The sequence below is a fragment of the Homo sapiens genome, chromosome X (assembly GCF_000001405.40).
Source record: "Homo sapiens chromosome X, GRCh38.p14 Primary Assembly".
NCBI classification, from domain to species: domain Eukaryota; kingdom Metazoa; phylum Chordata; class Mammalia; order Primates; family Hominidae; genus Homo; species Homo sapiens.
This window is the reverse complement of record NC_000023.11, coordinates 54,536,542-54,549,578: the sequence shown is the minus strand read 5'-3', so window position 1 is coordinate 54,549,578 and position 13,037 is coordinate 54,536,542. Positions and strand designations below refer to the sequence as shown.

Here is a 13,037-nt window from a genome sequence, read left to right as displayed (position 1 = left end):
TACAAATGCCCGCCACCACACACATCTAATTTTTGTATTTTTAGTAGACATGGGGTTTCGCCATGTTGGCCATGCTGGTCTCAAACTCCTGACCTCAAGTGATCTGTGCGCCTCAGCCTCCCAAAGTGCTGGGGCTACAGGCATGAATGAGCTGCTACATCCAGCCCTCCTTGTGGTTCTATGCGCGTTGGGGGAGCAGCGTTGGGGTGGGTGTGTGTGGGAAGGGCTTGGTCTACATGCATTTTGACTGTGGTTCTGTCTCGCTAGATGTGCCTCCTCTGGATCTCTGGGTCTGTAGCGTGGGTCTGTGTATGTGTTTGTGGATCTGTATGTGTACTTAAGAGCTATGTGTATGTGTTCCTCTGTATCTACAGCCTTGTCCAGTCTGCTTCCATGTATGTCTCTCTCTGAATCTGTCTCTATCCCTGTAGTATGTTTTTCTCTCTCATTCTTTGAGAAAACATGTCTGCCTCTCTACATACATGGGTTATCTCTACCCTTCCTATGTCTCCCTCGGCAGATCTCTGTATGCATGTCTGTTTCTATGTCCCTTTTGGTGTTTCTGATTGTATCTCCCTCTTTACATGCCTCCATCATGTAAATCTGTCTCCTCTTTCCATTCCCCACCAATCCTGCCATCTGGCTTCCCAGTGCGTTCTCTGTGTCTTCTTCTGTATCTATCCTGGTATGCATACCTATACCTTCTCAGTGTCTAGCTCTCTCTCCAATGTCTTTCTCACGTGGCTTCACATTCTTTCTCTGGTGATCTATCTCTGCCTCTCTCAATTTCCCTACTCCATTCCCATCATCCCTCCCTCAGAAACTTGTGCTCCAGAAAGGCCCAGGTTTTGATCCTCAGCTCTGCCTTGTCTTGCACAGGGCTGGGCTCCAAAAGTCCCTTTGCCCTTCTCTGAGCCTCACTCAGAATTCTCATCCGTAAAAGGTAGACGGTCACCCCATCCTCCCATAGCTCTGATAGGATGAGATGGTACCAAGTCCAAGCCTGGCACCCTGTATTTGCTCCATGAATCTAATACTCAATACGCAGTGATGCCCACCCATCCAAGTTACAAATCACGAAACCCTTCTCCTGAACCACTCCTCTCTCCCCGCAAAAGACAATGAAGCTCCCAGGATCCTTTCCCCCAGCGAAGTGTCCGCTCAAGAAAGAAGCCTGAGCCCCATGACCACACAGCAGGTCTTACCCACAACACCCACACGAATGTGGGTGCGCACTTCACCAAGGCGGCAATAGTTCCCCAGAACCCTCATGAGGTTTTCAGCTCCAAAGCAGGCTTTGCTTTTCAGCAGTGACTCAGAGGCCTGATCTACTGGCACACTGCAACGATTCTGGAAAAAAAAATTGAATATCACAGAAGAGACATCAGGTGGCAGATGAGGTCTGAGCCCAGATTTCCAACTTTCAGGGCCTCCCTATGATCACTGAGCTCCTCAGCCTGAAACGGAAGGCTTCTCACACAGATCTTGAACACGTGTCATTTCCCCATTCCCCTCCACTGTCTTTGTGTCTCCAGTCTCCTCTGCCCCTGCGTCTGCTTCGACACATGTCACTTGCCTCCCTCGGCAGTGGCAGGATGGCATCCTGGCTCTAAATAGGCCAGGTTTGAGCTCCAGGTCTACTTCTCACAGGCCTATGTCCAGCAAAGCCTGCTTCCCTTCTCCAGGCCTCAGTGCCCTGTGTGCACAACAGGGATGCCCACCCTCCCTGCCTGCGCAGGGATGAGAGGGAGCCTGGCCCACAGCCTACCCTCCCTCAATTCCTCACACAGGACAAAGCCATCCCAACCTTTACTCCTGATGCCACTTCCTCTGCCCAGAATTCCCTCCCTCCTCTTCCCTTACTTTTTTTCTTTGAGACAGAGTCTTACTCTGTCACCCAGGCAGGAGTGTGGTGGCACAACCTTGGCTCACTGCAACTTCCACCTCCTGGGTTCAAACGATTCTCATGCCTCAACATCCCAAGTAGCTGGGACTACAGGCATGCACCACCACACCCGGCTAACTTTTGTATTTTTAGTAAAGACAGAGTTTCGCCATGTTGGTCAGGCTGGTCTCAAACTCCTGGCATCAAGCAATCTGCCCACCTTGGCCTCCCAAAGTGCTGGGATTACGGGCATGAGCCACCACGCCCAGCCACAGCATTGTTTCCAATATCACAAAATTGGAATTAGCCTATATATCCATCAATAAGAAACAGGTTAAAAAGCTGTAGCCTTAAAGTGGAATACAAATGAAATACAGCTGTTAGAAAAGGTGGCTTCTGGCCGGGTGCTGTGGCTCATTCCTGTAATCCAGCACTTTGGGAGGCCAAGGCAGGCGGATCACTTGAGGTCACGAGTTTAAGACCAGCCTGGCCAACGTGGCAAAACCACGTCTCTACTAAAAATACAAAAATTAGCTGGGTGTGGTGGCACGCACCTGTAATCCCAGCTACTCGGGAGGCTGGGGCAGAAGAATCACTTGAACCCGGGAGGCAGAGGTTGCAGTGACCCAAGATTGCACCAGTGCACCCCAGCCTGGGAGATAGAGTGAGACGTCATCTCAAAAAAAAAAAAAAGAAAAAAAAAAGAAAGAAAAGGCGGCTTCTATTTTTGCCATCAAAAAGGCCAAGAAGCTGGGCACGGTGGCTCAAACCTGTAATCCCAGTACTTTGGGAAGCTAAAGCAGGTGGATCACTTGAGGTCAGGAGTTCAAGACCAGCCTGACCAACATGGTGAAACCCTGTCTCTACTAAAAATACAAAATTAGCCAGACGTGGTAGCACATGCCTGTCATCCCAGCTACTCGGGAGGCTGAGGGAGGAGAATCACTTGAACCCAGGAGGCAGAAGTTGCAGTGAGCCGAGATCGTGCCATCCCACTCCGGCCTGGGCAACAAGAGTGAAACTCCATCTCAACAAAAATTTAAATTTAAATTTTAAAAAGGCCAAGAAAATGTAAATAAGGTATCATGTTTCTGAAAGGTTTAAAAGTTTAATGCTATCAAATGTTGCCAAGGGTGTAGGAAAAGAGGCCTCTCACACATTCATCTACCCCACTGGTGGGAGTATAAATTGGTACAGCCATCACGGAGGGTGATTCATCAGTGTCTAGGTAAAGGTAAAATGCAGAAAGGCTATGACCCAGCCACTCCCTTTCTCTACCTCACCTACAAACACACACTTGCCCATGTGCCAAGGAGACATGTACAAGGGTATTTGTGGAAGCCCAGGTTATAACGATAAAAAACTGGAAACTAATTGTATTCAGCCTCGAAAAGGCACATCTCTATAGAAAGATGTCCAAGAGAAAAAAAAAACTAAGCCACAGAATGATATACATAATACTTCCAAACAGTATTCCCTCTTTATATATACACTTCTATGTATATCCAAAGCACAGAATAACATTTGGAAGAAGGCCGAGTGCAGTGGCTTACGCCTGTAATCTCCGCACTTTGGAAGGCTGAGATGGGAGGGTCACTTGAGGCCAGGAGTTCAAGACCAGCCTGGGCACCAAAGCAAGACCCTCCCCCCATCTCTACAAAAATAAAAAAGATAAAAATTAGCCTGGCATGGTGGCATGCACTTATAGTCCAAGGTACTCAGGAGGCTGAGGCAGGAGGATGGCTTGAGCCCAGCAGTTTGAGGCTGCAATGAGCTATCATCACGCCACTGCACTGAGGCCTGGATGACCAATTGAGACCCTAAATATCTGTATCTAAAATAAATAAAGTCTGGAAGAATGCACACCAAACTGTCAATGGTAGTTACCTCTGGGCATGAATAAAGGAGACTAGAATTAGGGAGACTGGTGAAAGGGTATTTAAGCTTTATCTGTAGTTAATTTTATTTTTTCTACTTTATTTTTAAATAAGTTTAACATCCAATGCAAAATTGAAAAAAAATGTCCCTTAGTATCCAATTTTTCTCCCAGAAACAATCAGTTTCTGTATTAATATTTTACAAACCATACATATTTCTCTATTAATGATATAATTGGGAAGAACTGTGATTTGTTTCAAAGAGAAAAATGATTGGAGGTATACGTATTTTTTAAAGTTAACAAGTAGTTGGTTGTGCACAGTGGCTCACAGCTATAATCCTAGCATTTTGGGAAGCCAAGGCTGGTAGATCACCTGAGGTCAGGAGTTCGAGACCAGCCTGGCCAACATGGTGAAACCCTATCTCTACTAAAAAAAAAAAACACAAAACTTAGCCACAATCCTGGCTACTCTAGAGGCTGAGGCACAAGAATCACTTGAACCCAGGAAGCAGAGATTGCAGTGAGCCGAGATGGTGCCACTGCACTCTAGCCTGGGTGACAAAGTGAGACTCTGTCTCAAAAAATAAAAAATAAAGTTAGACCGGGAGTGGTGGCTCACGCCTGTAATCCCAGCACTTTGGGAGGCCAAGGCGGGTGGATCACCCGAGGTCAGGAGCTTGAGACCAGCCCGGCCAACACGGCGAAACCCCGTGTCTACTAAAAATACAAAAATTAGCCAGGCATGGTGGCACATGCCTGTAGTCCCAGCTACTTGGGAGGCTGAGGCAGGAGAATTGCTTGAACTTGGTGGGCAGCGGTTGCAGTAAGCCAAGATCATGCCATTGCACTCCAGCCTGGGCAACAGAGTGAGACTCTGTCTCAAATAAATAAATAAACAAACAAACAAGTAGTTAACTGTATTTTACAAATTCCCTATAGACATTATGTTTTATCCTTACAACTGAAAAAAAAGAAATGCTTCCTGAAGAGTGATAATACAGGAAGAAGTCAAGTGAAACTAATATTAAGAAGTCACTGGCCAGGCATGTTGGCTTATGCCTATAATCCCAGCACATTGGGAGGCCGAGGTGGGTGGATCACCTGAAGTCAGGAGTTCGAGACCAGCCTGGTCAACATGGCAAAACCCATCTCTACTAAAAATAAAAAAATTACAAAAATTAGCAGGGCATGGTGACGCGTGCATGTAATCCCAGCTACTTTGGAGGCTGAGGCAGGAGAATCATTTGAACCCAGGAGGTGGAGGTTGCAGTAAGCCGAGATCACACCATTGCATTCCAACCTGGGCAATAAGAGTGAAACTCCATCTCAAAAAAAAAAAAAAAAGTCACTCGGTGGAGCAAAAAGCTCAAAGTTGAAGGCCCAGTTCAATTACTAAAGGGCTGGAGGTCCCAGTCCAAGTCACGACCCTCCCAGCTCTGGCCCCAAACTACCCTGAAAGCGGCTAGATGACCCTAGCCCCAGGCTTACCAGGTTTTTGACCTGATGCTGGGTACTGGCCTTGAAAGCCACGGTTGGCAACTCATTCCGAAGGTAATCCAGCCATTTCTCCACAACCTCCTTGGGGACCAGGTCTGGGGTAAATATAGGAACAGATGGGGCTGGTAAGCAGAACAACACCTCCATGGTTCCCTCCAAAGACACCTCCACCCGTACCCAAAGCTAGGCCCACCTACCATCAACAGGTCTCTCAACTGGCCCTGTCATTCCCATCCAGTCCGCAGGTTGGAGTTAGAAAGGATAGTCTGGTCTACGGGATGCGTTAGCCCTCCCTGAAGGGGCCTCTGTTCCCTCAGGGAAAATGGACAAACTAGCTATCTGGTCCCAAATGTTCTCTTTCCAAAACAGCGCCAGGAGCATCAGAGACCCCCCAAATATTGTGTTTCCTATCCCCTCTCTGGATCATTCTAGGTTGGGCCAAATGACAAAGATAACCCTAAAAAGAATGGCTATCATGTGTGAAGTACTGACCACCATGTACCAAGCATTTTATCATTAATTCTTACAACAAATCTGTGAGGTTGGGATACCCATGGCCCATTTTACAGCTAGAGAAACAGGAGCTCTTGGAGGTGGCATGACTTATCCAGTGTCTCAGAGAAAAGAATCAGGACAGGTGGGAGGCTGAACCCTAGACATGAGTGACTCCTGAGCCCATGTGCTCCTCTGCCCCAGTCTTTGAGTTGAGGGAGGAGGAACTCTCCAGGGTTGTCCAAAAACAGAGAAGGCTCAAAATGGCAAGAACAGGGGACTGAAAGGCAGACAGGCTTGGATTCCACACCTAACTTGTACCATACTCTGTGATACAGGCTTTGAAAATCGGAACAAAAATTTCTACTTTGCATGACTATTATGAGTATCACTGAGTTGCTGGGTTCAGTGTCTGGTCCAAGCTAGACGTTAAAGATGGCCTGCCCACCTTCCCTGTCACACCCAATCCTGCCTAACACCCACCAATCTTGTTCAAGACCAGGACCAGCTTCTTGTTGCCTTGTGCTCGCAGGACAGCCTCCTCCATTTGGAAGCAGCGGCAGCCTAATGGGTCTCTGGCATCCAGGACTTCCAGAATCACATCAGAGTATTCCACCACCTGCAGGGCAGAGGACCAGGAGATGAGGGCAGGAAAAGGATAGGGTAGCAGTGATGCAGGCCTGTGAAACAAAAATCTCCATCTCAGTCAGGAAAAAACAGAAATGGAGAGGAAAAGGGGCTGGACTGGAACCCTCCCGCAAAAGCCTGAAGAAATGGAACCCTGTACCTTACGGAACTCCTTGTAATAAGCCTTCCTCGTGGCCTCGTCATCCAGCTGAGGAAACATATTTAATTCCTGCAAAACTTCCTCCTAAAGGAGAAAAAAAAAGAGAATGGTCCAGGGGAGGAGGGGGAGAGAGCGAGAAAGAGAAGCAGGGCTTTTTAAACTATAGGAGGCTTAAAAAATCATGTGAGTCCTGGCCATCAGAGAAATGCAAATCAAAACCACAATGAAATACCATCTCAAACCAGTTAGAATGGCGATCATTAAAAAGTCAGGAAACAACAGGTGCTGGAGAGGATGTGAAGAAATAGGAACACTTTTACACTGTTGGTGGGACTGGAAACTAGTTCAACCATTGTGGAAGACAGTGTGGCGATTCCTCAAGGATCTAGAACTAGAAATATCATTTGACCCAGCCACCCCATTACTGGGTATATACCCAAAGGATTATAAATCATGTTACTATAAAGACACATGCACACGTATGTTTATTGCGGCACTATTCACAATAGCAAAGACTTGGAACCAACCCAAATGTCCAACAATGATAGACTGGATTAAGAAAATGTGGCACATATACACAATGGAATACTATGCAGCCATAAAAAATGATGAGTTCATGTCCTTTGTAGGGACATGGATGAAGCTGGAAACCATCATTCTCAGCAAACTATTTCAAGGACAAAAAAACCAAACACCCCATGTTCTCACTCATAGGTGGGAATTGAACAATGAGAACACTTGGACACAGGAAGGGGAACATCACACACCGGGGACTGTTGTAGGGTGGGGGGAGGGCGGAGGGATAGCATTAGGAGATATACCTAATGTAAATGACAAGTTAATGGGTGCAGCACACCAACATGGCACATGGATACATATGTAACAAACCTGCACGTTGTGCACGTGTACCCTAGAACTTAAAGTAAAATAATAATTTAAAAAATAAATCATGTGAGTCTCAGGCCACCAAAAAGTAGCTTTGACCAACCAATAAAGCTGGGAACTGGAAGAAAAATGGACAGAACCCCATGGTTCATGTGTGCGCCTATGTGTATACGTGTGCTCGAGCACCAGGTGGAGACCTGAGTGTGCACATGGGTGTGAAAGGGAGGGATGGAGGAGGGAGGTGTGAAAAAAACAATCTATGAGGGACACAGGATGGGGGAGGCATACACACTGCATATCAGAAAAGGGAGTATGAGCTGGCAAGCGTGTATTCTGTGTGTGAAACAAGAACATCTGCCAAAAAGGCAGCAAGAAGCCCTAGAAGGAAGACAACATCCCCTCACATATGCTCCTCTCTGTCTCTCAATCCTCTCCTCATACTTTCGCTCCCTCTCCCCCAACCCCATCCCCTGGTCACATGTAACTCTCCCAGCCCCCAACTCCGCCACCAGCCCCAGTCTTCAGGCTCAACCTTGGGAGAGAGGAGCTCTCCAGAGGTGTCCAGTCACGGGTAAGGCTCAAAATGGCCCTTTATCTCCCTTTATCCCTCCCTCCCTCCCTTCGTCCGTCCCCATGGTTTTCTATCCTCTCTACACTGATTCCCTTGTTCCCCTCCAACAACTTCACACCTTCTTCCCTTTCACAGAAAAACGGCAAAAGATGCTTTGAGCAAACCTACCCAGGGGCAAGGGCTGCACTCTTACCTTATGCTCAAACTCCTCCTGGCGTCTTAGGACATCCTGACAGTAGCTCTCAATGGTCCTGCGTTTTTGTCTTTCTTGCTCCCGGGCGGCTTGCTGCTTCTCCCTCATCTCCTCAACCTAACAAGTGAACACACACTGGTACTGGAGCTGACTGGGTCTGCAGCCTAAGGGAGGGATGGGTGACAGACAGAGGAAATGGTGCGACATGGCAGAGGTGGCAGGAGCAGGGTCCAGGGAGAGGGAAGATATGACATCAGGAGATGAGGGTTTGAGAAGAAGAAAAAGAGAGATGAAGGGAAGGAAAGAGTTGCAGAGAAAAGAGGGTATAAAAAGCAGAGAGAGAATGTATCCTAGGCAGGCGGAACCACTTAAGACCAGAGATGGAAAGAAGCCAAGGTCCTGGGATGCTTCATCATTTAAAGATAAGGAAGAAGGCTGGGCAGGGTGGCTCACGCCTGTAATCTCAACACTTTGGGAGGCCAAGGCAGGTGGATCACCTGAGGTCAGGAGTTCAAGACCAGCCTGACCAACATGGTGAAACTCCATCTCTACTAAAAATACAAAATTAGCTGGGCGTGGTGGTGCATGCCTGTAATCCCAGCTACTCAGGAGGCTGAGGCAGGAGAATCGCTTGAACCCGGGAGGTAGAGGTTGCAGTGAATCGAGATCACACCACTGCACTCCAGCCGGGACAACAAGGTGAAATTCCATCTCAAAAAAAAAGATAAGAAAGGGGAAAAAGTGGCAAAAGAGACTGTCAGTGGCTAGTCAAAGAAGAAAGACATCCAGGAGAGTGAGATGACAAGAAAGTCCACATGCTTCAAAGAAAGCATAGCCTCAAATGCTGAGCATTCCAATAAGATGAGGGAAGAATACTATTCATGAATGTGATGTCAGGGAAGGCGCTGATGAGGCCAGCAGGGGCAGTGTCAGCAGAGCAGTGGAAGCATAAGCCAGACAGCAATGGACTGGGTGGTGAACAAACGCAGACATAAATCCAGTATCATGGTAACCTCCCTCTCTCCCGGCTTCCACAAATAGCCTCAACAACCCTAACAACTCTTGCCTTTGCCCTTCCATTCAACACTTCTGCGGACCTGGCATTCAAGGCAGGCCCTCTCTCTCCCCACCAAGGCAAAAAGCTTACCCACTTCTTCTTTAATTCAGCCTCTCGATTGGCATGATCATTGGGGTGAACAAAATGAGGTGCAGAGGGCACTTTGGAGGTTGCTTTCTTCCCATTTTGCTTTGCAGGCTGGCCACCACATAAGAGAAAAAAAACAGAGGTAATGAACCCATGGAAATCACCTCAAAAAGGCAGCAAGAAGCCCTAGAAGGAAGACAACATCCCCTCATAAATGCCCCTTCTATCTCTCAATCCTCTCATCCTCTCATCCCCTCACTCCCAAGGTGAGCAGCAGGAGTTAAAGCTTCTCAGATAAGTGTAGTTGTGGGGACAAAGAAAGGAGAGAAGCAAAAAGGGCTCCATCCCCAAAGATCTGCCCATCTGGCTGGGTAGAGGTCCTCTCTCCTATAGCTAGGCAGGGACTGACAGGAGACCTCTCAGAGGGGAAGGGCAGCTGGGAAGGTTTCCCAAGGCCCAGGGAAAACCTTTCTAGATAAGTGACTCTCAAAAGAGTGGTCCTCAGACCAGCAGTAGCAGCAGCACCTGGGAACTTGCTAGAAATACAAATCATGGGATGCCATGCCAGACCTACTGAATCAGAAACTCTGAGGTGGGGCCCAGCAATCGATGTTTTCCCCCATCCTCCAGGTGATTCTAGAGGACTGGTTAAAGTTTGAGAGCTTCACCCATGCTAAATTGTGAGAACCCAAGCCTTCTCTGGCCTATACCTTCTTCTCATTGCTCTTTCCCAAGCCTTACTTACCCACACCTTTCCCAGCAGGACCAGGAGATCCAGGAACCAAAGATGATGTTTTGGCCTCCCTCTTCTCCATAAGAAACAGGGACTTGAGAATCAGACAGTCTCAAATCCCAGTTGCGTTACCTTGAACCTAGGAACTTTCTCACTGACAGTTTCCTCAACTAAAACATGGGGATAATGATAATCCCTACCAAGGTAAATCAAGCACGAAGCTGCATATGACTTGGGAAAAATGCTGCTGATTCTCTGCTGCGGCCACCCAGAGAAGGAGGGAAAGCCAGATCCACTGACTCCAATGTGGCACTCTGTCCAGAGTCACCCAATATTTACTGGGTTTAGTGGGCCTCTCCCAGGACAAGCAACCTGTTCTTGACCTTACCCTCAACAACAGGCATACCTTACCTGAGGGTAGGGCCAACTTATCTTCTTGTGGCCCTTGGAACCTTCACCTGGCTTTTTATTTTCTACAAAAGAAAAAAAAGAAAGAAAAGAGCCGTCATCCATCTACACGATATTTGTTGACATCTGAATCAAGGCCAGGCCACACTGGGAACCTAGCTAGGAAGCCTCAGATACCATGTCTGTCTAGATCCAGCACAAGACAAGAGATGCGGATGGCAGCAATAGTATCAGAGGAAGTACTGGATATAATATTTGCACATTATTTCACTGCAAACTCAAATAATTCTGAGAGGAATTCTGTACAGAGAGAAACCTGAATATGTGCTTGTGACTCCTCTTTCCCCCAGAACTTCCTACTGGGGGAAACTCAACAATTTAAGTGCCAGGCTGAGATGAGGGAGCTGGCAGAATGAGAAGGTAATCTAAGGAGTCCCAGCCCACTAAACCTGGGCAGATGCCCTCAGTATGTGGGGAAAGAACCATCCTTCCTGCTGACCCTGCTCAGGCCATTGCCTCCAAAGGGACTTGACCTACTCAGCCAAAATGCTGCCGCCTCCCTCAGATACAAAAAGAAGAGATCTACCACTTCTCCAATCATGACTTAGCAAAGCCCAAGAACTTATGAGGCCTCTCCCCTTCTTCAATAAGAAGTCCCATCTCTCAACCCGTTCACAGTTGGCCTATTGGGAAGAATGGCTCCCTTTAATTCTTACCACCTTCATAGGGGCTCAAGGAATTCCTAGAGAGACAGGAGTTTCTGGAAGCTCAGGATATATACAAACAAATATATTATATGAGCAGCTCGAGAATACCACACAGAGAACAGGCTCCACAATCACATCAGTTGGCTCCCACTGCAGAGTTAAGGTACGAAACAGAACTTAAGTTCTACTGCAAATTCTTTTTATTTTGAGACCGACTCTTGCTCTATTGCCCAGGATGGAGTGCAGTGGTGTGATCTGGGCTCACTGCAACTTCTGCCTCCCGGGTTCAAGCGATTCTCCTGCCTCAGCCTCCCGTATTCGTATACAAAAATACAAATTTTTGTATTTTTAGTAGAGATGGGGTTTTGCCATTTAGCCAGGCTAGTCTCGAGCTACTGCAAATTCTTAAGGAGAATCAAGAAGATACTTCAAAGGAACTGTGTGAGAAAAAAAGATTTTCCAAAACTTGACACTGAATAAAAATTCAAAAGCTGGGTGCCGTGGTGCATGCTTGTAGCCCCAGCTACATGAGAGGTTAAGGTAGGAGGATCCCTTGAGCCCAGGAGTTCTAATCCAGCCTGGGCAACAAAGCAAGACCCCATCTCTTAAAAAAATACACAAACACAGACTGCTTTAACAGTCAAAACTTAAGCTGGGCACAGTAGCACCTGCCTGTTGCTAGCTGGGAGGCTGAGGCAAGAGGATCACTTGACCCTAGGAGTTCGAGAACAGCCTAGGCAACATAGTGAGACTCTGTCTCTTAAAAAAATTCAATAGAAATAGTGAAAAACAAAAAAGACATCACTAACAACCAAATTAATAAGCTAGAAGACCAAAGGAGGGGCTTACTTAGAGCAAAAATTCAAAGAAATTGAAATGATGAGCAAAAATATAAAAGAAAAAATGGACAATAGAGCCAAGACAGCTAAAATCTAAACAGGAGTTCCTGAAAGAGAAAAGGGTACAAATGGAGAAGCAATAATTTTCTGAATAACAGACGAAAGTTCCTTAAGTTGAACATAGGCTTGAGGTTTCAGACTGGAAAGACACAGGCAGCAGCAAGATTAACAACCAAGGCCGGGTGCCATGGCTCACCCTGTCATCCCAGCATTTTGGGAGGCTGAGGTGGGAGGATCGCTTGACACTAGGAGTTTGCGACTAATCCAGGCAACATAGTGAGACCTTGTCTATATAAAAAAAAAAGTTTAATTAACCAGGTGTGGCGGCATGCACCTGTAGTCCTAGCTCTCAGGAAGCTGAGGCGGGAGGACTGGTTGATCCCAGGAATTCAAAGTTATAATGAGCTATGATGGCACCATTGCACTCCAGCCTGGACAACAGAGACCCTGTCTCAAAAAAAAAAAAAAAAAAGATTAACAACCAAAAAGACATACCCTGGACATATCCTGATGAAATTTCTGAACTCTAAAGATAAAGAGATAAAATTCTAACCAACAGATCACTCTTACTTTGTGAAAGTAAGAAAAAGACATTTTCAGGTGAGCAAAGATTACCACTTGCCTTTCTTTCTTTCCTTTCTTTCCTTTCCTTCCTTCCTTTCTTTCGTCTCTCCCTCCCTCCCTCCCTCTCTCTCTCTGTTTTTTTTTTTTTTTGAGACAAAGTCTCGCTCTGTTGCCCAGGCTGGAGTGCAGTGGTGCCACCTGAGCTCACTACAACCTCCACCTCCCAGGTTCAAGGAAATCTCCTGCCTCAGCCTCTGGAGTAGCTGGGATTACAGGCGTGCACCACTGTGCCTGGCTAATTTTTTTATTTTTAGTAGAGACGGGGTTTCGCCATGTTGGCCAGGCTGGTCTCAAACTCCTGGCCTCAAGTCATTGGCTCGCCTTGGCCTCCCA

At 47.0% G+C, this 13,037-nt stretch overlaps 1 protein-coding gene across 6 annotated transcripts in view; it reads right to left on the bottom strand.

The window, feature by feature from the left end:
- Positions 1–13,037, bottom strand: part of GNL3L (G protein nucleolar 3 like) — a 115,636-nt gene that overhangs the window by 96,276 nt on the left and 6,323 nt on the right. For all 6 annotated transcript variants that reach the window (XR_007068190.1, XR_007068191.1, XM_047442190.1 and 3 more), the window contains exons 3-9: positions 10,478–10,539; positions 9,337–9,444; positions 8,190–8,306; positions 6,541–6,624; positions 6,237–6,372; positions 5,253–5,356; positions 1,206–1,350 (exon numbers count right to left, since the gene is read on the bottom strand). Coding sequence is in view for 4 of the 6 variants with exons in the window: in XM_047442190.1 (XP_047298146.1) it covers positions 1,206–1,350; positions 5,253–5,356; positions 6,237–6,372; positions 6,541–6,624; positions 8,190–8,306; positions 9,337–9,444; positions 10,478–10,539 (756 nt within the window). In the remaining 2 variants the exon portion in view is untranslated. The remainder of the gene's footprint in view (positions 1–1,205; positions 1,351–5,252; positions 5,357–6,236; positions 6,373–6,540; positions 6,625–8,189; positions 8,307–9,336; positions 9,445–10,477; positions 10,540–13,037) is intronic.